Here is a 24,924-nt window from a genome sequence, read left to right as displayed (position 1 = left end):
CCAGCACTTTGGGAGGCCGAGGTGGGCGGATCACCTGAGGTCGGGAGTTCGAGATCAGCCTGACCAACATGGTGAAACCCCATCTCTACTAAAAATACAAAAAATTAGCCGGGCGTGGTGGCCCATGCCTGTAATCCCAGCTACTTGGGAGGCTGAGGCAGGAGAATCGCTTGAACCCGGGAGGCAGAGGTTGCGGTGAGCCAAGATCATGCCATTGCACTCCAGCTTAGGCAACAAGAGTGTAACTTCATCTCAAAAAAAAAAAAATAAATAAAAGAGAAAACATGGCTTTAGACTGGATCCATTTAATTTTTTGAAAACTTAATAACAAAAAGCAACCACAAAACCATTTTTCTTTAAAACACTTCAGAATTAGAATCAAAACTTTAACAGAAGCTTCCTACCAAAGTAAAACAACTTAACACCAAACAACTGCAATTTTACACTAAAAAAATACTTTTCCAACATAGAAAAATGAAAACAGTGTGGCAGGATCAGGAGTGATTTCTATTGGCCTTAAAAATTATCTTTCTTCAATGTTATAATGTTGTTTGTGCAATAATTAAAATTGGGGTTAAGGAATAACTTACCCTTCGGTCAGCTGCTACAAGTCTAAATTCCCGTAACAACTTGCCAAAAAAGGATCTTTGTGGTTTTCGAAAGAGATGAATTGTCCCCTTTCAAACAAACATATACAAATCAGCATTTAGATATTTAATCATCTTCAGAGTTCCTATGATATGATATAGTGGTTCCTATGATATAAATAACCAATATTTATTAAGTACTCAATATACATCAAGCACTTATTCTAGACACTTTATGTGTATTTATGGATTTAATATTCACAATAAACCTATGTGGTGGAGACAACTTTTAGTAAGTCATCCAAAGTCACAGAGCTAGTAAATGGCTGAGCAGAAATTCAAACCCAGGCTTTTTAGCTCCAGACCACACTCTTTATTTTTAAATGGATAAGGCAACTTGAACTGAAAAAGAAATAGTTTGCCAAATAGCTCTACTGGAAATTTCTACTGAAAATTCACCTAATTAAAGCTATATATGTGGTTGTGCTTGGGGCTCATGCCTGTAATGCCAGCACTTTGGGAGGCCGAGGCAGAGGGATAACTTGAGGCCAGGAGTTTGAGACCAGCCTGGCCAACATGGCAAAACCCTGTCTCTACTAAAAATATAGAAATGAACTGGGTGTGGTGGTGCACACCTGTAATACCAGCTACTCAGGAGGCTGAGGCGTGAGAATCTCTTGAGCCTGGGAGGTGGAGTTTGCAGTGAGTCAAGATTGTGCCACTGCACTCTGGCCTCGGTGACAGAGTGAGACTCTGTCTCAAAAAGAAAGTAAGTTCAGGCAACTATTATAGTAAAACCCCTGAGATTCTCTCTTAGGCATTCAGTCAAAGTATCTGACATCCTGGCTAGTCTCCCTGGCCCCTGCTAGTGTATAGTTAGTTTGGGGATAGTAAAGATAGGGCTCACCAATGAGAGAGGAGACCAAGTGGCAACTAGAGGGGATTAACCACCCAAGTTTAGGAAATCACATGGGAAAGCCTTAGCAGAACAGAGAGTTCAAACACATATGAGAAATTAACTTATGAGAAAAGCAGTATCCAATATCACTGGGAGAAAATATAAGCCAGTCAATAAATGGTATTTTGATCAAGGTAATGTTTCACCCTTACCGTTACTCCTTACTCTGTTGTTATTTTTAAAAATAAAATACAGATTTATAGAGTACTTGACTGAAGAAAGTCTAGATGTATTATTTTATAATCTGGGAGTTGGGGGAAGCCTTTCTTAATAGGGCATAAAACCCAAGAAGCTCTAAAGGAAAAAAATTGATTGATTTTACTATATAATTTCATGGGCGAATGTAATACCCTTAAGGGGGAAAAAAACTTTAAGAAGGTCAAACTGAAAAAAAACTATAATTCACAACAGACAATAGGCCAATTTTCTCTATACACAATGAGCTTCCACAAACTATTTTTAAAAAGATGAATAACCCAGTTTTAAAAGTTACACATTTATAAAGCTGGCCAAATCAGTACCTGCTCATTATTCACATTTGCTTTTGCAACTTTGTATTGTTAATGTGAAATCATGATTTCTCTTGATACTTTAAAAATAAAAATGGTATGCCTCTCCCTATACACAGTCACATCCATCTCTTGAACCTCAGTTCCAGCTGCTTTTGAGGAGGACAGTCTGATTTTAAATATAGGCTACACGGCAAACAGGATATTCACTCTGTCGCAGCCCCATTCTGCGGTGAAGGAGTAGCTGGGACTACAGGTACCCACCACCACGCCCGGCTAATTTTTTTTTACCTTTAGTAGAGACGGGGTTTCACCGTGTTAGCCAGGATGGTCTTGATCTCCTGACCTCGTGATCCGCCCGCCTTGGCCTCCCAAAGTGCTGGGATTACAGGCGTGAGCCACCGCACCCAGCCAATAAATATATCTTTTTCTTGGCTGGCCATGGTGGCTCATGCCTGTAATTCCACCACTTTGGGTGACTGAGTCAGGAGGATCAGTTGAGCCCAGGAGTTCAAGACCAGCCTAGGAAATATACTGAGACCCTGTCTCTACAAAAAAATTGAAAAGAAAAAAATTAGCCAGGCATAGTGGTACATGCCTGTAGTCCCAGCTACTCAGGACACCAAGGTGGAAGGATCGCATGAGCCCGGGAAGTCAAGCAGTGAGCCAGGTTCACACTTTACTCAAGCCTGGGCAACAGAGCGAGACCCCATCTCGAAATAAATAAATAAATACATAAATAAATGTACATATGTATAAATATTATATATATGTGTATGTACATATGTATATATATTCTTTTCTTAAAGAATTATGTGTGAGTTATTTTGGTTCCAAAGATTTAAAAAATTCTCCTTAATACTGTTATTTTGGACATCTTCTGTTTAACCCTAGCCAACTTTAAGTTTCAGGTTAAGAGAATCAACAAGGTTTCTAAGAGGCAGAAAGCCACTTCTGATGCCATCCTGACAATGAAAATAAAACAAAAATCCTAATGTCATATCACTCTTCCCAAAATTATATTGGCTCGCCATTGCTATCAGAATAAACTACAAATTTTACAACCTGAATTTCCAGGTTTTCAATGACTTAGCCTGTTTCTTTCCAGTCTTATCTCTTACTCCAGATAGAAACCCTCAACTTCAGTTAAACTGGTCTACTCTTTTGTCTCATGACCACTCTTGCGTGAAAAGGCCAGATCTGTCTAACCCAAGCTCTTATTCATATAATGACAAACAAGTATTAGATTAAGAGTATTAGAGTGGGGCACAAAGTACTTAGTTTCATGTTTCACTTCTTAAATGAAGTCTTCCTAGATCATTCCAAACTATAGTGTTTTTTATGCCACTTATTTTGCATTAACCAAAGTAAAGCCTTCAACTTGTTACATTGCTTTGTAATTTTAGTAACTTCACTAATGACAAGGGCTATTTTCCTTTATATTTTGTTTTTATATACTTATATTTTTAATATTATATATTTATATTATTTATATTTTCTAAGAAGGCACTGTTTTCACACAGCATGTTAATAAACACAAAACCTTTTTCTCAATATTTTATTTTAAAATATTTATTTTAAAAAATAAACCTTAAATACTGTTTCCCTGCATGACTAATACTGATGTTTCAAGCATAAAGATATAGTGCCATAGGTTTTCAGTGCTTTATAAAACAGACGTTTTATTTGTATTTTTCTTTATATTTTCTAAGAAAGTACTGTTTTCACATAGCATGTTCTTAATAAACGCAAAACCTTTTCTCAATATCCTTTAAAATAAACCTTAAATACTGTTTCCCTGCATGACTAATACTAATGTTTCAAGCATAAAGATATAGTGCCATAAGTTTTCAGTGTCTTATAAAACAGATGTTTATTGAAAACTTCCTCTGGGCCAGGCACGCTACAAAGCTCTGGGAATTAGGGTGAAATACATAGGTCCTGCTCTCAATGAGCTTACAGTCTAGAAAGTGAGAAAGACAAATAAGTACACAACTTTAACATCGTCTGTAAGGATTACAGATGTTACTGGTAAAAAACACAAGAGATTCAAGTTTTACTTTCTTAAATTAGGGCTGTGAGTTAATGAAGGTGTATAATCTGAAAGACCTCTGAATTTTAAGTCTCTTATCCCTTTATCTTCAACTCCCTTCAAATCATCAGTATTATAGGCAAGTTAAGTTTCTATTGTATGTATTCGTTTTGTGCAGCTTTATGTAACAAAACTGGTGTGTGTGTGTGTGTGTTTGTGCATATAAAAGCACAAGGTACCACCAGAGCACAAAGGAGAAGCAACTAAGAGGATACTGGAACATGAGGGAAAGGTTCATGAAAAATAATTAAGGATATATAAGGGTTATTCTGATAAGGACAGCCGATAGAGAACAGAGAACAATTCTGGGGATGGAAGAGCATATGCAAATTAGGTACAAAGGCTCAATTAATACAGCATGATTTGCAAGCTATTCACTGTGGCTGAAATACGGATGTTGCATACATGTATGCATTAAAAAAAAAAAAAAAAAAAGAGTTTGTGGCCTGGCACGGTGGCTCACGCCTGTAATCCCAGCACTTTGGGAGGCAGAGGCGGGAGGATCACCTGAGGTCAGGAGTTCGCGATCAGCCTGACCAACATGGAGAAACCCCGTCTCTACTAAAAATACAAAATTAGCCAGGCGTGGTGGCGCATTCCTGTAATCCCAGCTGCTCGGGAAGGTGAGGCAGGAGAATCGCTTGAACCCGGGAGGCGGAAGTTGTGGTGAGCCGCGATCGCGCCATTGCACTCCAGCCTGGGCAACAAGAGTGGAACTCCGTCTCGAAAACAACAACAAAAAAAGAGGCTGTAAAAGTAAGAAGCTTGATAATGAGTGGCTTTGTATGCCATGCTAAACAGGACTTTATCTTGAGTGCTACAGAAAAAAAAAAAAGGAGAAAATTTGAGTAAGGGAGTGATGTGGTCAAATTTTAGAAATATAACTCTGGCTACAGGCTTCACAATGGTGAATGTTTTGAAGAAGAGCGTAACTGAAGGCTATTTGATCATTAGCCAAAAAGTGTAAACTTTTACCCATTTTCTGTGTGCAAAAGGATTACAGAAAATTTACAAAACATAAAGTGTGTGAATGAGGCATTTTCCCGACCATATCCACTTAAGTAAAAAACTTAGTACAGTGACAAAAGCTTAGGCACAGAAATGTGGTCTCTTTCTCATACGTAGGCTATCAATAAGTACTCCATAAATTTTTCTAATAAATGCATTTTCAAAAGGCACACGCCACTTGGACACTTCAAATCCCAACCAACTGCTTATCTTTAAAGTTCAGAGCTATATATTTGAGCTCTAAAGGCAAAGAATGACTAATTCTAACAAATTTGAGAGAAAACACCATATCCCAACAACCATAACGTCTACTGGGTCTTCCATTAGTTTCTACAAACCCAGAAATAAAGCAGCAATAAAATGTCCTACCAACACCTTGACTTTCTGTAGTTACTGCGCTTATGAAATTTGCTGCCGTAATCAGGCTACTTAATATTTAGTAAAGCCAAGTTGCAGAGTGAGACGTCTGCCCTAAAACCCTATTACTAACCTTTTTTTTTTTTTTCCGCTGGCGTTATCGCCACTGCTCTAAGAATCACTATTACAGTTGTTGCTGTGGACTTGTTTTCAGATCTTTTGTTGGTGGCCTAGTTGTTGACGCTGGCAAAAACTTTTATTACCTTAAAGAAATCTCGGCAGAGGGAAGTCAGAAACTCGCCAGGAGCTGAAAGCTCTGCCTGCAGCGGGGCCTAGATCGTGAGCGCCTGCGGAACAGGTGAGGGACCGAAAGGGACCAGAACTCTGAAGGGGAACATTTTGGGAGACAGCCGCTCCTGCCAAGGGGCCCGACTTCAACTCCAATGACCCCTCCTCTGGGTGGCTGAGGGATTTCAAGGTCGCTTCGGGACCAAATAAGATAAACCGAATCAGCTACAGCCGAAACCCTCACCCCAACAGCCAACTCACCATGATAAGGAGCTGCACAGCTCCCGCCGGAAGCCGTTCTGGGTGCTCGAGTTTTCCCAGAACGGAAGGGGTGGGGCACCAGTGGGCGATTGGCTGTGAGGAAAGCGTGGGAGGAAGTGCGTGCTCTGGCCTCCGGCTTCCGTCCCCTTCCCGGCTGTCCCTGCACTCCGTGGCGGAAGGCGGCTAGAGCGGCTCCCTCTGAGCTCTCCGAGAGATTGGTCGGGACCTGAAGCGTTGAGGTTAAGGGCAAGGCAAGGAGCAACGAGGAGTTTTTCGTTACGTTAGAAAAATTTCGTTGCGTGCTGAAGCGCTTTTACCTGTGTTGTATGATTTAACCTTATGAAAATGGACAGTATTCCAGTTTTACAAGTGAGGAAAGAAGATTAAGAAACTTGCCTCCGCCAGGCGTGGTGGTTCACTCCTGTAATCCCAGCACTTTCGGCGGCGAGGCAGGCGGATCACTTGAGGTCAGGAGTTCGAGACCAGCCTGGCCAACATGGTGAAACCCCGGCTCTACTAAAAATGCAAAAATTAGCCGGGCGTAGTGGCACGCGCCTGTAATCCCAGCTACTCTGGAGGCTGAGGCAGGAGAATCGCTTGAACCTAGGAGGCGGAGGTTGCAGTGAGCCGAGATCGCGCCACTACACTCCAGCCTGGGCGACAGCGCGAGACTCCGTCTCAAAAAAAAGAAACTTGCCTTGAGTCCTACATATAGTTTGCTGTAGTAGCAGAATTTGAACTCGGACCGACTAATGGTCTACTTAATAAAATGCTATTTGGATTCTCTATAAAATTAATAATATAGAAGTAATGTTAATTATAGAAAACTTGGAAAATATTAAATTCATTCGATAAAGATTGAATATGTAGCACGTGTGTTTGTCAGATACTGGTCTCGTGAAAATTATATTCTGGTAGGGAAGACAGAAAACAAGTAGGGATAAAGAAATTTTTAAAAGATATTCATAAGTAGTGTCGTGTAGAAAACTGGGTATAGGTTGAGTATCCTTCATCCCAAATGCTTAAGACCAGAACTGTTTCAGATTGTGGCTCTTTATCTTGGGGATGGGGCCAGAGGCTAAACTTGAAATTCATTTATGTTTCGTATACACCTTATGCACATAGCCTCAGGGTAATTTTATGCAATTTTAAAAATTGTGTGTGTATCAAACAAAATTTTGACTACAGCTTTTTACATGCGGTCAGGTGTGGAATTTTCCACTGTGGCATCGTGTTGATGATCAAAAAGTTTTGATTTTGGAGCATTTTAATTTCAGATGGTTGGATTAGGGTTGCTGAACATGTAATGGTATACAGAACAACTGAGTAGGTGTGGTGCTCACGTCTGTAATCCCAGCACTTTGGGAGGCCTAGGCGGGCGAATCACGAGGTCAGGAGTTTGAGACCAGCCTGGCCAACATGGTGAAACCCTGTCTGTACTAAAGATAAAAAAAATTAGCTGGGCGTAGTGGCGGGTGCCTGTAATCCCAGCTGCTAAGAAGGCTGAGGCAGGAGAATTGCTTGAACCCGGGAGGCAGAGGTTGCAGTGAGGCGAGATCGTGCCCCTGCTCTCCAGCCTGGGCAACAGTGCAACACTTCATCTCAAAAAAATAAATAAGAAGTAAAAAATAAATAAAATCGTAGGTATTATCATCTATCGACAATCTGTTCTCCACACTGCAGCCACAGTAATCTTTTTTAGTAGAGGAGAGGTCTTGCTATGTTGCGCAGGCTGGTCTGGAACTCCTGGGCTCAAGTGATCCTCCTGCCTCAGCCTCCCAAGATGCTAGCATTACAGGCATGAGCCAACACCCCTGTCCTATACCTAGGATTTAATGAACATTCAATATGTGGTAGGCAGTATTCTAAGAATTTGAGGCCAGGCACAGTGCCTCATGCCTGTAATCCCAGCACTTTGGGAGGCTGAGGCAGGCAGATCACTTGAGGTCAAGAGTTTGAGATCAGCCTGGCCAACATGGCAAAACCCCGTCTCTACTAAAAATATAAAACTTAGCCGGGTGTGGTGGCAGGCACCTGTAATCTCAGCTACTCGGGAGGCTGAGGCAGGAGAATTGCTTGAACCCAGGAGGCGGAGGTTGCACTGAGCTGAGATGAAGCCTGGGTGAGAGAGATTCCATCTCAAAAAAAAAAAAAAAAAGCCGGGTGCAGTGGCTCATGCCTGTAATCCCAGCACTTTGGGAGGCCAAAGCGGGTGGATCACGAGGTCAGGTTTTTGAGACTAGCCTGGCCAACATAGTGAAACCCCGTCTCTATTGAAAATAGCCAGGTGTGGTGGCAGGAGCCTGTAATCCCAGCTACTCAGGAGGCTGAGGCAGGAGAATCACTTGAACCTGGGAGGCAGAGGTTGCAGTGGGCCGAGATCGTGCCATTGCACTCCAGCCCAGGCGACAGTGCAAGACTCTGTCTCAAAAAAAAAAAAAAAAAAAAAAAGCACGATTATGTGTTAGCTCATTTAATCCTCATAACAGCCTTTGACATAGGTACTACTATTATCCCCTGCTTGGGAAAATCACACACCTAATCAGTGGCAGATTATAGACACGTGCCACCACGCCCGGCTAATTTTTGTATTTTTAGTAGAGTCAGGGTTTCACCATGTTGTGCAGGCTGGTCTCAAATGCCTGACCTCAGGTGATCTACCTGCCTTGGCCTCCCAAAGTGCTGGGATTACAGGCATGAGCCACTGCACCCGGCCTGGAGAGGTACCTTTAAACCATATAAATATCACATTCCTCATTATGCTTGTAATTTGTTTATGTTTGTATTCATATATTCACATGAGCTCATGGTTTATTTCTTCTGATGGGTTATAATTAATTACTACTATTACTTATTTTGATGCTCAAATTTGTCCAGTGGGAACCCTTTTAATCTGTGTGTCATTTCAATGATTCATCCTCATCAATCTTTGGGCACTTTTTCTCTCTGGCACAAGAAGTTCCACACTCATGTATTTTCTCTGCCCCAGCCCTGAATTTAGCCATTTTATCAAAGAGTCTTGGTTCCTTTAGTTGATGTTATGGACTGAATATTCGTGTCCCTCAAATTCATATGTTGAAGCCTTCACCAGCAATGTGATGGTCTTTGGTGATTCAGCCTTTGGGAAGTACCTAGGGTTAGATGAGATAATGAGGATGGGACTGTCATGATGGGATTAATGCCCTTTTAAAAAGGGACACCAGAGAGCTTGTGCTGTCTGCCATACAAGGACACGGTGAGAAGGTGGCCATCTGCAAGCCAGGAAGAAAGCCCTCACTAGAAACCAAACTGGCTGGTACTTTAATCTTGGACTTCCAAGCTTCTAGAACTGTGAGGATAAATTTCTGTTATTTAAGCTGCCCAGTCTATGGTATTTTGTAATGCAGCCCAAGCAGACTAAGACAGTGAAGAATTTGGAAGGCAAGATATGGGTACTTTATGTGCTCATTATTATTGGAGCATAACTGCTCCAAGGCCACCTTGGTGGACAGACTAGGGAATATACATATTTGGACACATACACACGTGTATATTTATATGCTTATATGTCCTCTATTTTTATTTGAGGCAGGATCTCGCTCTGTTGCCCAGGCTGGAGTGCAGTGGTGCGATCTCAGCCCACTGCAACCTCTGCCTCCCAGGTTCAAGTGATTCTCGTGCCTCAGCCTCCCAAGTAGCTGGGACTACAGGTGTGTACCACCACACCTGGCTAATTTTTGTATTTTTACTAGAGATGGGGTTTCGCAGTGTTGGCCAGGCTGGTCTCAAACTCCTGATCTCAAGCGATCTGCCCGCCTCGGCCTCCCAAAGTGCTGGGATTATATGCGTGAGCCACTGTGCCCAGCCGATATTTCATCTATTTTTATAGATTTTAAACCATGAATTCACTTTCTTAAACCCAATTCAAGCTGAACTCCAGGTTTCATTCTAGTTTCCCCCCTTTCTGTATTTATAATTACCTTCTCTGTGGTTAGTATATTCACTTTATTCCATCAAGTCTTTGGTGTGCAACCAATCTACCATCTCTGCTGACACCCTTACCCCATATGGACACCCCTTTCTGTGCTTGAGCTTATTCCTCATTCCAGGTTGCCCCTATCCACCATGTGAATAACTGCCTCAATCTGTCCCTGACACCTCATACCTAGCTGTCCATCATTGTAGACACTGTCTTCACCCTATTAGGTCTCTGACACCCAAATTTGGACTTCCATAGGTCCCCTCTACCCAATGTAAGCACATTGATCTGAACCACTGTGCAAACACGTGCCTGGGACTGCTATCCCCAGAAAGTCCTGCTGGCAAGGTTGGCCCTTGCCAGGCATCTGGGAACTTGAATTTGAGGGGAGATTCCCTCTATTCCCTAACAAGCTTACTATGTCTAACAGTGAGGCTTAACACTTTCACATGCTGTCACTTGTTGCTGGAGTGACATCCTGTGTGACTTCATTAGGAGAGAACCCTTAGAAGCTGGTGCTTGGTTTCCTCTGGACTTCACTTAATTCCTTTTTTCCCTTTGCTGAATTTGCTTCATATCCTTTTGCTCTAATAAATCATTGTTGGGAATAAGACTATATGCTGAGTCCTGTGAGTGCTCCTAACGAATCATCAAACTTGCACATAGTCTCGAGGGCTTAACCACCTAATGACTTTAAAACAATAGTTCTGGCAGGGTGTGGTGGCTCTGCCTGCCTGTAATCCCAGCATTTTGGGAGGCCGAGGCAGGAGGATCACTTGAGCCCAGGAGTTTGAGACTGCAGGGATTTTGAGACTGATTACGCCACTGCTGTCCAGCCTGGGGCAATAGAGACTCTGTCTCTAAAAAAAAACCTCAACCCCCTGAAAAAAAAAAAATCCACAACAGTTCAGGAAGGAGGAAGGTAAGCAATTTAGTGACATTATTAATTTCAGCTCTTCCATCCCACTGTTTTATCTTACACTTCTTTGCTCTGTTTTTCTTTCCTTGATTTCATTTGACTAATCACATAATTCTTAGTGACCCATTTTATCTTCTCTAATGGCTTTTTAGATCTACTGCACCCCAGTGATGGGGTGAGAGATTACAAAATGCATTCTTATCACAATCTACCTTACACTAATGCTATCTCACTTTGTGTACAATATAGTAATATTATCTCAATATAATTACATTTATTGCCCTCTCTGACCCTTCATGCTATTTCTGTCCTATATTTTACTTATACATATATTATAAACACTGCAATACTATTTTTGTTTGCTTTAAACAGCAATGATATTTAGAAAAATAAAAAAGAAAAATGTCTTTCTTATTTACCAACATGTTTATCATTTCAAAATTCTTAATTCCATCCTGGAGATACAGGTTCCCATTGGGAAATCCATTTACTGATAAGTCCATCCAAGGAAAATTTTAATTTCAGATACTACGTTTTTCACTCCAGATTTATATTTTCCTTCAGCCTGAAGAATTTCTTAAAGCATTCCGTATAAAGTCAGTCTGCCAGCAACAAATTCTGTTTTCATCTGGAAAAGATTTTGTCTTAAGTTTTTCAAGAGATAGGGACTCTGTCCCCCAGGCTGGAGTGCAGTAGCACGACCACAGCCCATGCCCAGCTAATTTTATTTTTTGATGGGGTTCTCACTAGGTTGCCCAGGCTGGTCACTCATGGCCTCAAGGGATTCTCCTGTCTCAGCCCCCCAAAGTGTTGGGATTACAGGCATAAGCCACTGAGCCTGGCCATTGCCTTAACATCTTGAAGGATATTTTAACTGGATACAGAGTTTTAAGTTAACCTTTGTTTCATCTTTGCACCTTAAAGATGTCATTCCATCATTTTCTTAATTCCATCATTTCTGATGAGGTTAGCCATCACTCTTGTTTATCTGAATGTAATGCTACTCCTTCCCACTCCCCACCTTGATTGCTTTTAAGATTTTTTTTTTTTTTTTTTTTGGCAATGTGATGTACCCAGATGTAGTCTTTGTTGTATTTATTCTGCTTGGGGATTCAGTGAACTTCTTAGATCTGTACGTTGATGTCTTTCAACACTTTGGGGAAAATTTCACGCATCATTGCTTCAAAGATTTCTCTTGCCCCATTCTCTTCCTTTCCTTCTTTACTTCAAATTACAGGAACTGATAATGTTCCAAAGGTCTCAAACCTCTGCTATTTCTTTTTTCTTTCTCTCTCTGCTTTGGTTTGATACTTACTTGTCTTTTTCAGTCTTTCCTGTTGTGCCTAGTTTACTGTTAAGTCCATCCATTTAAATTTTTAATTTCAGATACTGTAGTTTTCATTACAAGACTTTCCAGTGGGTTATTTTTTATTATTTTCTAATTATTATTATTATTATTTTTGAGACGGTTGCCCAGGCTGGAGTGCAGTGGCGCGATCTGGGCTCATTGCAAGTTCCGCCTCCTGGGGTCATGCCATTCTCCTGCTTCAGCCTCCCGAGTAGCTGGGACTACAGGTGCCCGCCACCATGCCAGGCTAATTTTTTGTATTTTTAGTAGAGACGGGGTTTCACCATGTTAGCCAGGATGGTCTCAATCTCCTGACCTTGTGATCTGCCTGTCTCGGCCTCCCAAAGTGCTGGGATTACAGGCGTGAGCCACCGCGCCCAGCCAATTATTATTATTATTTTTTGAGATGGAGTTTTGCTCTTCTTGCCCAGGCTGGAGTGCAATGGCATGATCTTGGTTCACTGCAACCTCTACCTCCCAGGTTCAAGCAATTCTCCTGCTTCAGCCTCCCAAGTAGCTAGGATTATGGGCATGCATCACCCATGCCCGGCTAGTTTTGTATTTTTAGTAGAGACCGGGTTTCACCATGTTGGTCAGGCTGGTCTTGAACTCCTGACCTTAGGTGATCCACCTGCCTTGGCCTCCCAAAGTGCTGTGATTACGGGCGTGAGGCACGGTGCCTGGCCTCTGTTGGGTTTTCAATTCTTATTTTTCTGCTGAAACTCCCTATCTATTCACCCATTATCTCTTCTTGTAAATTCTTTTAACATATTTTAACGCTATTTTAAAATCACTCTCATAGAGGTCACTTGTGCATCTGCTTCTGTATATTTTCTGTTGAGTATGGTATGGACCACTTTTTTTTTTCCATCAGGGAAGTTGAGTCAAAAGGATCACATAATTTTTCTTTGCATGCTTAGTAACTGTTTATTATGTACTGAGCTTTGGATATATGCTGTGATGACTGAATTGTTTTCTTCTCAAGAATGCTGTGTTTTGTTCTGGTTTTAAATTACTAATGGATAACCTTGATGCTGTGAGATTTGATTTTAAGCTTCATTACAGTAAGTTTATTTCCATTTTGTCCTTAGTGCTGAAGCACAGCCTTTAGTTCTAGGATGCTGTCATTCTTCCTTAAGGCGTGGCATTTTGGGGGTTCAATGGGAAACACCAAGTATTTACTCAGTCCTTCTTAGTGGAACTTGAATTTCAAACTCTCTGTCCTTGGGCAGCTGCAATCGCTGCTGAGTTTTTTAGACTTTAACTTGCTTTCTCCTGGGTTCCTTTAAATAATCACACTGCACCAGCACAATTTTGGAATCCACCAAGGATTTGAAAGGAATATGTAGGCAGATTTTAGAGCTTACTTTCTGAGGCACTCTCCTTCCCAAAATTTCTCTTCTAATTTTCAGGTGTTCTAGAAGTCCCAAATGATTCCTCAGCCTGTCAAAACTGTCACATTCTACCTGAATTCTATATCCAAGTGAACTGCACAAACTGGAAATTGCCCTATGGGTAAAAGCTGGTTAAGGTGAATCTCGTTTACTTTTTATTTTTTGAGACAGGTTCTCTGTAACCTGGGCTGGAGTGTGGTGGTGTGATCTTGGCTCACTGCAACCTCCTCCTCCCGGGCTTAAGCGATCCTCTAACCTCAGCCTCTTGAGTAACCGGGACTACAGGTGTAGGCCACCAAACCTGGCTAATTTTTAGTTTAGTTTTTTTTTTTTTTTTTTTTTTGGCAGAAACAGGGTCTCCCTATATTCCCCAGGCTGGTCTTGAATTCCTGAGTGTAAGCGATTCTCCCATACTGGCCTCCCAAACAGGCATGAGCCACCACACCCAGCCTGAATCTCTTCCATTATAGGACTTTGCAGTTTCTACCTTGTTTTGATTGCTCTGCAGAGCCACCCAATCATTGCTTTCTATATTTTGTTAAGCGTTTATAATTGTTACTAAGAGTCCAATACACACAACTCCTTCATTATCAGACTCCAACCCCTAAAATATCAAAAAGTTTTAAAGTAAAAAAGTAAAGACAAAATAAAGTTTATCATTTATTTCCAATACATTAGGATAAAAACCCACTTTATGCAACTGTACCCTTTAATTCATTTCTTCTGAAGAAAAGTACAAAAGACCAGACTAAAATTGAGACAAGCATTTAAAGGAAAATCCTTTGACTCAGAGTCCAAAACCGAACTGTAAATGGTTCATTTTACCAAAAGAATTAGTTTTTGTACAAAATATAAAGAATTCTACACTATAAACAAAGACGGCTGTATATGTAATTAAATTAGAATTCTAGTATCTGCTTTTCCTCTAATTCTTCTGGAGTACAAACATATTTGCAAGTCAGAAATCTAATATTCTCAATGGACAGACTGTCTTAGAATAAGCTTTTACCCTTAAGATATCTGGAAAGATAGTACTCATTCTTTCCCTTGGCTCAAAGTCCAATATATCAGTAAGTTTTAATTTAGTTTACAAAACTCTGCCATATTAACATGAAGAGCACACTAATGCTTAATGTTTAAGCATTATCTTTTAGGAAGTAATACAACACAGAGCTCAACACCGAATCTAAAAGGTCACAATCTAAGTCATTATTAATTCAGAAAACTTCAGCAACTTCTATCTTTATTGAAAAAGACCAAACCAATCCCTTATCTCCTACTATATCATTACTCTATTTTCATGGCCCTTCTATCAAAGAAACAGCTTAAAATAAAACTTGGTTAGAGTTAAGTCATAGAAAATAGTTCTCTAGCACTAGCTGAAGTTCAGACTTGATCAGGAAAGCAACTTCTATACAGTAATGATTTTCTGACTCAGTGTTTAAGATAGTATTAACCTGACTTTTATCTCTTTTAACATTTGAAATCTTTGTTATCTAAAAGTCTTTCCCAATAGAATTATAACCATGATAGTTTTAAAGGAGACAATATATTAAAAGTTGAGCTGGAACCACATAGTCCTTTAATATGATTAGCCAGTTATCCAAGTATCAATAACGTTAATCTTTTAAATGAAAACAATGAAATTTTATGAGCTTAACTGAAATGTCTTAATTTAGAACTTCTCAATTCTTTTCATCATATATATTTCATTACTACCTTTCGTTATCAGTATTTCATAATTGATGTTGTAATGTTTGAGACCTTAAAGGGATACTACCCATCACCTAACATATGCATAGCTCTGGCTTGAAAAAAATTTTTTTTCCCCTATTTATCTCAACTCTCATTTTTATTATTCAGGGAGTTCCAAAGTCATGATTGGAAGAGACATGATTTACCTTATGGCTACAAACAGCATATGATCCTAAGAAATCATGCATCTTCTGGCTGGGCGCAGTGGCTTATGCCTGTAATCCCAGCACTTTGGGAGGCCGAGGCAGGCGGATCACCTGAGGTCAGGAGTTCAAGACCAGCCTGACCAACATGGAGAAACCCCATCTCTACTAAAAATACAAAATTAGCTGGGGTAGTGGCGCATGCCTGTAATCCCAGCTACTCGGGAGGCTGAGGCAGGAGAATTGCTTGAACCTGGGAGGCGGAGGTTGTGGTGAGTCGAGATTGCGCCATTGCACTCCAGCCTGGGCAACAAGAGCGAAACTCTGTCTCAAAAAAAAAAAAAAACCCAGAAATCATGCATCTTCTATATTCAAACAAATCTTTAACAAGAGCAAGAGTAAAATTAAGAAGAATGTATGTCTTCATTATAAAGTTCTTACCTAGTAGGGGCAAGTTTTTTATTTTAATGTATTCTTTCAAAACCTAAGAAATCTTTCCTAAATGAAAAATTCTTGTTACTACTACAAATATTCTTTCCACTCATGACATTTTACATAGCATCATTTAAGCACCAGAGAAAAGTTCTGTAAACAAACTTTTAACCAGTAAACTAAGGGCAAATATCTATTTGCCTTTATTACAATATTTAAAAGGCCATGATATGAGTCTCTACTCCCTACAATGACATTTTTATAATGAAAATCCAGGCATATTTATACAAACAAATGGAATTACTGTACATTTTGGGAGAACAAAAGGCAGATCAACAGACTAGAACTAGAACTTTTGAGTTAATAAAGCAAGCAGAAGGAACTAGAAAAATGTATGCCATGTATAAAAATTCAGTTTTTTTAAAGTTTCATTGAAGGGATTAATAATTATTAAGAATAAAAGATGGTAGTTCCACTTGCTTATAATTATCCTGTAAAATTAAGAAAGTAATAAGCAATAAATTAGAAATGTCTTAGTTCCTAGTATTTCCCTTCTCTTGCACTGGAAACATTTTCACAGCAGTTAAAATTGGCTCTCTTAAATATCAGAATAATTCTTGCAGAAAATAAATTCCATCAGGAAGAAGTTAACAGTCTACAACAGATTTCTGACAAATACATTAGAAAAAAAAATACTGCAGGTCACATGAAGACTGATCTACATGTTATATGACAGAGTAACTCAAACCTTCAAACCTTCTCTATTTTACCATATTTGCTTTTTTGCTATTATATTGCTATCTAAACTGTTTGGTAGCAAGGTAATAGAAAAATAAAAGGTAAAAAGAACACAACAATTGTTTAATGTCTGTAGATTTATGAAGAAGAAACTCTCAAAATAAACTTTTTCCTATTACAGTTACTTAGGAAAAAAGTTTCATTTGGCACACTGAATTTATAAAACGAAAAAAGAAAATAAACTTAAGAGTGTTTGGCATTCCAATCACCTGTAGTTAAGACAACAGTAGAAAAGAAAAGTAGGAGAAATTACTATTTTAAGAAAAAACATCAGAAGACAAACAAACAAATGTTCTTGTGTCTTCTACCATTCACTGTTCCTGGAATACTTTCATCTGCAACACAATATACAAATTATTATTTACATTATGATTATATTGGTAAAGAAGACCAGAATCAGGTTTTGTTGTGCTCTAACTTAGTGTCCATTGGGATAACTGTGACCATCAAGGCAAGGCCTTAAACAACAAAAAATTACATTTGCATTGTATATTTTGTTTAAGTCTGTTTTCTGGTTCATCTTCAAGTTTGGTGCACAAATATGTAAGACTCTAAAAAGTCCTGTAAACTTAGGCTGTTTCTGTAGCCGATGACGTTCATTGAAGATCTTGTGTTTCCTCTTTTAAGTAAAATGTTCTGCAGGTTTACAAAGGTATTTCCTTAAACAGTGGTATCTCCAAAGTCCTTGTTCCAACGTATGTACGCTTCTAAAGTTTGAGGGCTGACGCTGCGTTTTATTTTTTTCAAGGATTCAGTGAAGTCAGATAATCGAATATTTCTCATCTAGATTTTTAAAAAGCACATGACAATACAAATGATCAACAGGTATATGGTGGTTAACGAAATGATGGATTAAAGTAATGATGCTGCTGTTTCTTAATGTTATAAAAAATATACGTGTATGTATTCTTAGAAAATTATGTCAGCCATTTAAATATATTTTCTATGTTGATCTGCTACACAAGAAACCTTAATAAATGCTATACTAATATATTTATTACTTGTGTTTAGTTTCATAGGTATTAACATTTGAAAGCATAATATTTTTCCAATATAAAAACAAAACACAATCATTTATAGAAAAGTTCAAAAATACAGACAAAGAGAAAAAAAGAATCACAATTTCACCACTCAGATATGCAACCTCCCCCTCCAAGGTTCAAGCAATTCTTCTGTCTCAGCCTCCCGAGTAGCTGGGATTACAGGCACATGCCTCCATGCCCAGCTAATTTTTGTATTTTTAGTAGAGACAGGGTTTCGCCATGATGGCCAGGTTGGTCCTGAACTCCTAACCTCAGGTGATCCGCCCACCTTGGCCTCCCAAAGTGCTGGGATTACAGACGTGAGCCACTTTGCCCAGCCTAAAGTATGCATTTTTATATTAATTTGGTCTTATTTTCTGATCTTTTAAATTGCCTTTGGAAATATAGATTAAAACAATGCTGAGTTAATGAATATCTATATTTACACCTAAGTATTTTTAAAAGGCAAAATGGATAGGTTCACAGAGTCCAGGCAATAGAAAAATTAATAAAAATTTTGGCCAAGCACGGTGGCTCACACCTGTAATCCCCGCACTTTGGGAGGCCAAGGCGGGTGGATCACCTGAGGTCAGCAGTTCGAGACCAGCCTGGCCAACATGGTGAAACCCCGTCTCCACTAAAAATACAAAAATTAGCCAGGCAGGTGCCTGTAATCCCAGCTACTCAGGAGGCTGAGGCAGGAGAATCGCTTGAACCTGGGAGGTGGAGGTTGTAAGTGAGCCGAGATCGTGCCATTGCACTCCAGCTTGGGCAATGAGTGAGACTCCCTCTCAAAAAAAAAAAAAAAAAAAAAAATTAAGGCAAAATGCAGTTTGGCATAAATGACCTGTGTTAAAAATCATTTCTAGCGTATACCTGTATTTTGGCCCAAAAATAAGAAGTTAAAGAACTTTAAACAAAACTCCAACAACTGGTATTTATCCGTATTTTAAAAACTACTCTTAAAAACCCAATCTAACTTCATATCATCTTTGATATCTCCATGAGATATCACCTACACTTGTAACTTGTAAACTAATCTGAAAAATTTTAGCCAAAAAGAAAAAAACATATAGTTAAAATATAGGCTGGCTGCAGTGGCTCGCACCTGTTAATCCCAGAACTTTGGGAGGCTGAAGCAAGTGGATCACTTGAGCCCAGGAGTTAGAGACCAGCCTGGGCAACATGGCAAAGCCTCATCTCTACAAAATGTACAAAATTTAGCTAGGCATGGTGGCGCACGCCTGTAGTCTCAGCTACTAGGGAAGCTGAGGTGGGAGGATCACTTGAGTCTGGGAGGTTGAGGCTGCAGTGAGCCATGAGCATGCCAATGTATTTCAGCCTGGGAGACAGAGTGATACCCTGTCTCAAAAAAAAAAACCCCAAAAACCCAGCAACCCCCCACCAAAGAAAACCCCATAAGCACTATATGAACCCTACTTGTTTCCTATTTAACTGTAACACACACACTGCCTCTTCCTAAAGGCCAAAGTGTAGAAGAATAATGAATGTAACATGGGTATTAAACATGATATTACTAAATAAAATTTATTTGTTATAGAAATTAATATTTTTGTTTTGAGACAGGGTCTCACTGTTACCCAGGCTGGAGTGCAGTGGCATGATCTCGGCTCACTGCAACCTCTGCCTCCCAGGCTTAAGAGATCCTCCCAAGTAGCTAGGACTATAGGTGTGCGCCACCACGCCCAGCTAACTTTTTGTAATTTTTGTAGAGATGAGGATTTCACCATGTTATCCAGGCTGGTCTCGAATTCCTGAGCTCAAGGGATCCAATGGCCTGAGCCTCCCAAAGTGCTGGGATTATAGGCATGAACAACCACGCCTGGCCAGAAATTAAGGTTTTAAAAGATGTTGATGTAATTGTACTTTAAGTCTATAGTTTGATATGTGTATATATATGAAACTTATATGATATTTTAACGTAAGAGACTAATGTATACAACAGGAAAAAGGCAGATGGTAGCTGGTTCAGTTAAGGGGGGAAATAAGTAGAAAAGTTGTCTTATCAAACCAAAATAATAAAGGACTTAAAGTTAAATTAGATACACAAGGTACTTAAAAAACAAAGTATATTGTACCCCAATTTATAACCAACAATTTTAGTACTAACCTTAAAAATACAGAAATTCCAAACCAATTATTTGAACTTCTACTATTATAAACTGTAAAAGATAAGTTGGGTTTTTCTTTTTTTTTTTTTTGGAGATGGAGTCTCGCTCCTGTCGCACAGACTGGAGTGCAGTGGTACGATCTCAGCTCACTGCAACCTCCACCTCCCCAGGTTCAAGCAATTCTCCTTCCTCAGCCTCCCGAGCAGCTGGGATTACAGGCATGTGCCACCACGCCCGGCTAATTTTTGTATTTTTAGTGGAGACGGGGTTTCGCCACGTTGGCCAGGCTGGTCTCGAACTCAAGACCTCAGGTGATCCAACTGCCTCGGCCTCCCAAAGTGGTAGGATTACAGGCGTGAGCCACTGTGTGCGACCAAGTTGGGTTTTCCTTACCTAAATTTATATATATTCACCGGTAACTGACAATACACTTTGGTATTAAAGTTGCATCAAATAATGGGTATATAAAATTCTAGTATACAGTTTTAGAGAGCAAACTACTTGTGTTTACGTCTCATCCCATAAATGGAAATGAGAGAATGGATTACCTTAATCTCTATAATAAAATGCCACTATCAGTTTTATATTTTTTAAAGTTATTTAATGGATCTTTACATAGTGTTTACTACGTGCCAGCTACTTTAAGTGCTTTATAAATATTAACTCATAAGTAAGCAATAACAGCTAAAGGTCATTATCAAATTATTAATACCAAAACCACTAGATTAAAAAGAAACAACTGAATGAAAGTATATAGTAGAGCCAGGCATGGTGGCTCACACCTGCAATCCCAGCACTTTGGGAGGCCGAGGTGGGCGGATCTCCTGAGGTTGGGAGTTCCAGATCAGCCTGACCAACATAGTGAAACCCCGTCTCTACAAAAACACAAAATTAGCCAGGCATAGTGGCGCATGCCTGTAATCCCAGCTACTCAGGAGGCTGAGGCAGGAGAATCACTTGAACCCAGGAGGCGGAGGTTGCAGTGAGCCGAGATTGCACCATTGCACTCCAGCCTGGGCAACAACAGCGAAACTCAGTCTCAAAAAAAAAAGTATACAGTAGAACCAAATATTGTAACAATATAACCTGAATATATATAATTAATGGGATGCTCACAAAAGGGACCAGTAATATTCTTCCTTGTAAATCACTCAGTAGTTTTATTAAGCTTTAATTTTTAGTTTTACCATCTAAATTTTTAATAAATAATGTTATGACTTTTAAAAAATGGTGGATAAAATTATATTTTTAGGTGTGGGATTAAAAATTTCAAGTCTGGCACGGTGTCACACCTGTAATCCCAGCATTTTGGGAGGTGCAAGTGGGAGGAATGCTTGAGGAATCTGAGACCAGCCTAGGCAACATAGTGAGACCCCATCTCTACAAAAAATTAAAAATTTAGCTGAGTGTGGTGGTACATGCCCGTAGTCCCAGCAACTCAAAAGGCTGAGGCAGGAGGATTGCCTGAGCCCAGGAGCTAGAGGGTGCAGTGAGCCATGATTGTACCACTGCACTCCAGCCTGGGCAACCAAGTGAGACACTGTCCCAAAAAATAAAATAAAAATAAATTAAATTAAATTAAATTAAATAAGTTAGAAAACTAAAAGCTTTCAGCCGGGCGTGGTGGCTCATGCCTGTAATCCCTAGCACTTTGGGAGGCCAAGGTGGGCGGATCCCAAGGTCAGGAGATCGAGACCATCCTGGCCAACATGGTGAAACTCTGTCTCTACTACAAATACAAAAAAAAAAAAAAAAAAAAAAAATTAGCTGGGCGTGGTGGCGTGCACCTGTAGTCCCAGCTACTCGGGAGGCTGAGGCAGGAGAATCACTTGAACCCAGTAGGCGGAGGTTGCAGTGAGCTGAGATCACACCACTGCACTCCACTCCAGCCTAGAAACAGAGCAAGACTCCATCTCACAAAAAAAAAAAAAGAAAGAAAGAAAACTAAAAGCTTTCTTAAAAAAAAAAATTCAAGTATGGTGCCTCATCCGACAGGCGAATAAAAGCCTGAAAAAAAAAAACAAACAAACTCCAAAATGTACTTGAATACACTTGTTATCTGTGTTAACAGTTCACTGTCCCCTCAACAGCTGCTGCAATTAGGGAAATAAAAAATAAGTTACAAATATACAGCTGTCCCTCAGTATCTCTCGGAAATTGGTTCCCCCATAGATAGCAAAATCCGCAAACGCTTAAAGTCCCTTATGTAAAATGGTGCAGTATTTGCATACAACCTACACAATCCTCCTGTATACTTTAAATCATCTCTAGATTACTTATAACACCTAATACAATGTAAATGCAATGTAAATAGTTTTTATACTATATTGTTTAGGGAATAATAACAAGAATAAAAGTCTGTACATGTTCAACACAGATGCTTTTTTCCCCCAAGTATTTTTGATCTGCAGTTGGTTGAATCCATGAATGCAGAATCCACGGATAGAAAAGGCTGACTGTAATTCAAGCCTGATTTCAAAATTTTGCTCACAGAGTTATGACCATTCTGCATACCCAATTTTATATTTTACATGCAACTTTTTTCAAATGAAATGCTTCAGCATCTCATAAGGAGGTCTTCCATATTAAGAAACGGTAATAAATTGGCCAGGCATGGTGGCTCACGCCTGTAATCCTTGCACTTAGGGAGGCCGAGGCTGGCGATCGCCTGAGGTCAGGAGTTCGAGACCCACCTGGCCAACATAGTGAAACCCCATCTCTACTAAAAATACAAAAAAAAAAAAAATTAGCTGGGCGTGGTGGCCCATGCCTGTAATCTCAGCTACGCAGGAGGCTGAGGCAGGAGAATCGCTTGAACCTGGGAGGTGGAGGCTGCAGTGAGCCAAGATGGTGCCACTGCACTGCAGCCTGGGTGACAGAGCCAGAGTCCTTCTCAAAAAAAAGAAATTAATTAAAAAAATAAAGGTTATTGAAAAACAAAATAGAACATTATTAAAGGATTAACGTATAGTTATAGGTTATTTTTATTGTATAAACCCCCACAAGTTTCATGTAATTTTTTTTTTTTTGAGACTGGGTCTCACTCTGTCGCCCAGGCTAGAGTGCAATGGGGCAATCTTGGCTCACTGCAACCTCTGCCTCCCAAGTTCAAGTGATTCTCCTGCCTCAGCTTCCCAAGTAGCCAGGACCACAGGCACGTGCCACCATGCCCAGCTATTTTTTTTTTTTTTTGAGATGGAGTCTTGCTCTGTCGCCCAGGCTGGAGTGCAGTGGCACGATCTCGGCTCACTGCAAGCTCCACTTCCCAGGTTCACGCCATTCTCCTGCCTCAGCCTCCCAAGTAGCTGGGACTACAGGTGCCCGCCACCACGCCCCGGTAATTTTTTTGTATTTTTTAGTGGAGACAGGGTTTCACCATGTTAGCCAGCATGGTCTCGATCTCCTGACCTCGTGATCCGCCCGCCTCGGCCTCCCAAAGTGCTGGGATTACAGGTGTGAGCCACCGCCCCCGGCCTAATTTTTTTGTATTTTTGATAGAGACAGGGTTTCACCATGTTGGCCAGGCTGGTCTTGAACTCCTGACCTCAAGTGATCTGCCCACCTCGGCCTCCCAAAGTGCTGGGATTACAGGCGTGAGCCACCGCACCCGGCCTGTAATTTTCTTCTGTTTGGTATTTATGTAATATGATTTGATAGAAAATGACTTTATGTATATATGTTTTGTCTATTACCAAAAAAAATTTTGACTATTTCATAGGTTTCCATATTTTGAAATGAAGCAAAGTTAATTTTTTCTAGCTTCTAATCAACTAGAAAAATCCATTAAAAAAAATTAGTCCCAAGCACTCTGAGAGACTGAGGCAGGAGGATTACTTGAGGCCAAGAGTCTGAGACCACCCTGGGCAACAGGGAGAGACACCATCTCTACAGAAAATTAAAAAATTAGTGGGGCGTTGTGGCACTTGCCTGTAGTCCCAGCTACTAAAAAGTTTGAGACAAGAGGACTGCTTGAGACCAAGAGGTCAAGGCTACAGTCAGCCACGATTGCACCACTGCACTCCAGCCTGAGAACAGAGCAAGACCCTGTGTCTCAAAAAAAAAAAAAAAAAAAGGCCGGGCGCAGTGGCTCACGCCTGTAATCCCAGCACTTTGGGAGGCTGAGGCAGGCAGATCACGAGATCAGGAGACAGAGACCATCCTGGCTAACACGGTGAAACCCCGTCTCTACTAAAAGTACAAAAAATTAGCCAGGCGTGGTGGTGGGCGCCTGTAGTCCCAGCTACTAGGGAGGCTGAGGCAGGAGAATGGCGTGAACCCGGGAGGCAGAGCTTGCAGTGAGCTGAGATCGCACCACTGCACTCCAGTCTGGGCGACAGAGTGAGACTCCGTCTCAAACAAACAAACAAACAAACAAACAAACAAAACAGCCAGATGCAGCGGCTCAAGCCTGTAATCCCAGCACTTTGGGAGGCCGAGTTGGGTGGATCACTTGAGGTCAGGAGTCTGAGGCCAGACTGGCCAACATGGTGAAATGCCCTCTCTACTAAAAATACAAAAATTAGCTGGGCTTGGTGGTACATGCCTGTAGCTACTTGGGAGGCTGAGGCAGGAGAATAGCTTGAATCCAGGAGGTGGAGGTTGCAGTGAGCCGATATCATGCCAGACTGTCTCAAAAAAAAAAAAAAAAAAAAAAAAACCACACACACACACATTCATATATGTATGTCTTATATATGTCTTACAATATAGAAGACAAAGAAAATATCATTGTAAAATACTATACCTCACTGGCAGACATATTCTTCACCTGTTCTGGTTTTAGTTCTGTAAAACATAAAAGTCAGGCACTTAAAAATACATACATTTTGCAGTTGAAATTGTTGAAGGGCAAAACCAAGTACAATGATCTACATGTATCTATTCAGTACAAATCATTATATTAAAAAAAAGAGACACATGTTAACTTTGAGAGCAAATACAATTTATAAATGCTGAGAAGAGA

General features: G+C 40.2%; 2 protein-coding genes and 1 long non-coding RNA gene across 23 annotated transcripts in view, besides 1 other annotated feature; 1 reads left to right on the top strand and 2 right to left on the bottom strand.

Annotated features, from left to right (window-relative positions):
- SLC30A6 (solute carrier family 30 member 6) overlaps positions 1–6,100 on the bottom strand; it is a 58,516-nt gene extending 52,416 nt beyond the window's left edge. For 12 of the 17 annotated variants that reach the window (XM_011532963.4, NM_001193513.3, XM_011532959.4 and 9 more), the window contains exons 1-2: positions 6,061–6,100; positions 591–677 (exon numbers count right to left, since the gene is read on the bottom strand). In XM_011532963.4, the coding sequence (XP_011531265.1) occupies positions 591–677; positions 6,061–6,063 (90 nt within the window). In that variant the 5' untranslated portion in view covers positions 6,064–6,100. Of the gene's footprint in view, positions 1–590; positions 678–5,774 lie in introns of all 17 variants that reach the window. The other 5 variants (XM_047444944.1, NM_001330479.2, XM_011532962.4 and 2 more) reach the window with 2 other exon arrangements.
- Positions 4,264–4,780: an enhancer, noted in NCBI's record as "H3K4me1 hESC enhancer chr2:32392253-32392769 (GRCh37/hg19 assembly coordinates)". NCBI's record gives its function as "activates a minimal SCP1, AML or CMV promoter by ChIP-STARR-seq in naive H9 embryonic stem cells {active_cell/tissue: H9 hESC(naive)}" and the evidence as "EXISTENCE:reporter gene assay evidence [ECO:0000049][PMID:30033119]".
- A 124-nt stretch (positions 6,101–6,224) lies between the features above and the next one.
- On the top strand, positions 6,225–6,923 carry SLC30A6-DT (SLC30A6 divergent transcript). Its single transcript, NR_185886.1, has one exon. It is a non-coding gene; the product is annotated as an SLC30A6 divergent transcript (long non-coding RNA).
- SPAST (spastin) overlaps positions 14,327–24,924 on the bottom strand; it is a 94,082-nt gene continuing 83,484 nt past the window's right edge. For all 5 annotated transcript variants that reach the window (NM_014946.4, NM_199436.2, NM_001377959.1 and 2 more), the window contains 2 exons: positions 24,706–24,746; positions 14,327–17,590 (listed from right to left, as the gene is read on the bottom strand). In NM_014946.4, coding sequence (NP_055761.2) covers positions 17,468–17,590; positions 24,706–24,746 — 164 coding nt within the window. In that variant the 3' untranslated portion in view covers positions 14,327–17,467. The remainder of the gene's footprint in view (positions 17,591–24,705; positions 24,747–24,924) is intronic.

The sequence above is a fragment of the Homo sapiens genome, chromosome 2, assembly GCF_000001405.40.
Source record: "Homo sapiens chromosome 2, GRCh38.p14 Primary Assembly".
Taxonomy (NCBI): Eukaryota; Metazoa; Chordata; class Mammalia; order Primates; family Hominidae; genus Homo; species Homo sapiens.
The sequence above is the reverse complement of the archived record's forward strand: the minus strand, read 5'-3'. Positions and strand labels throughout refer to the sequence as shown.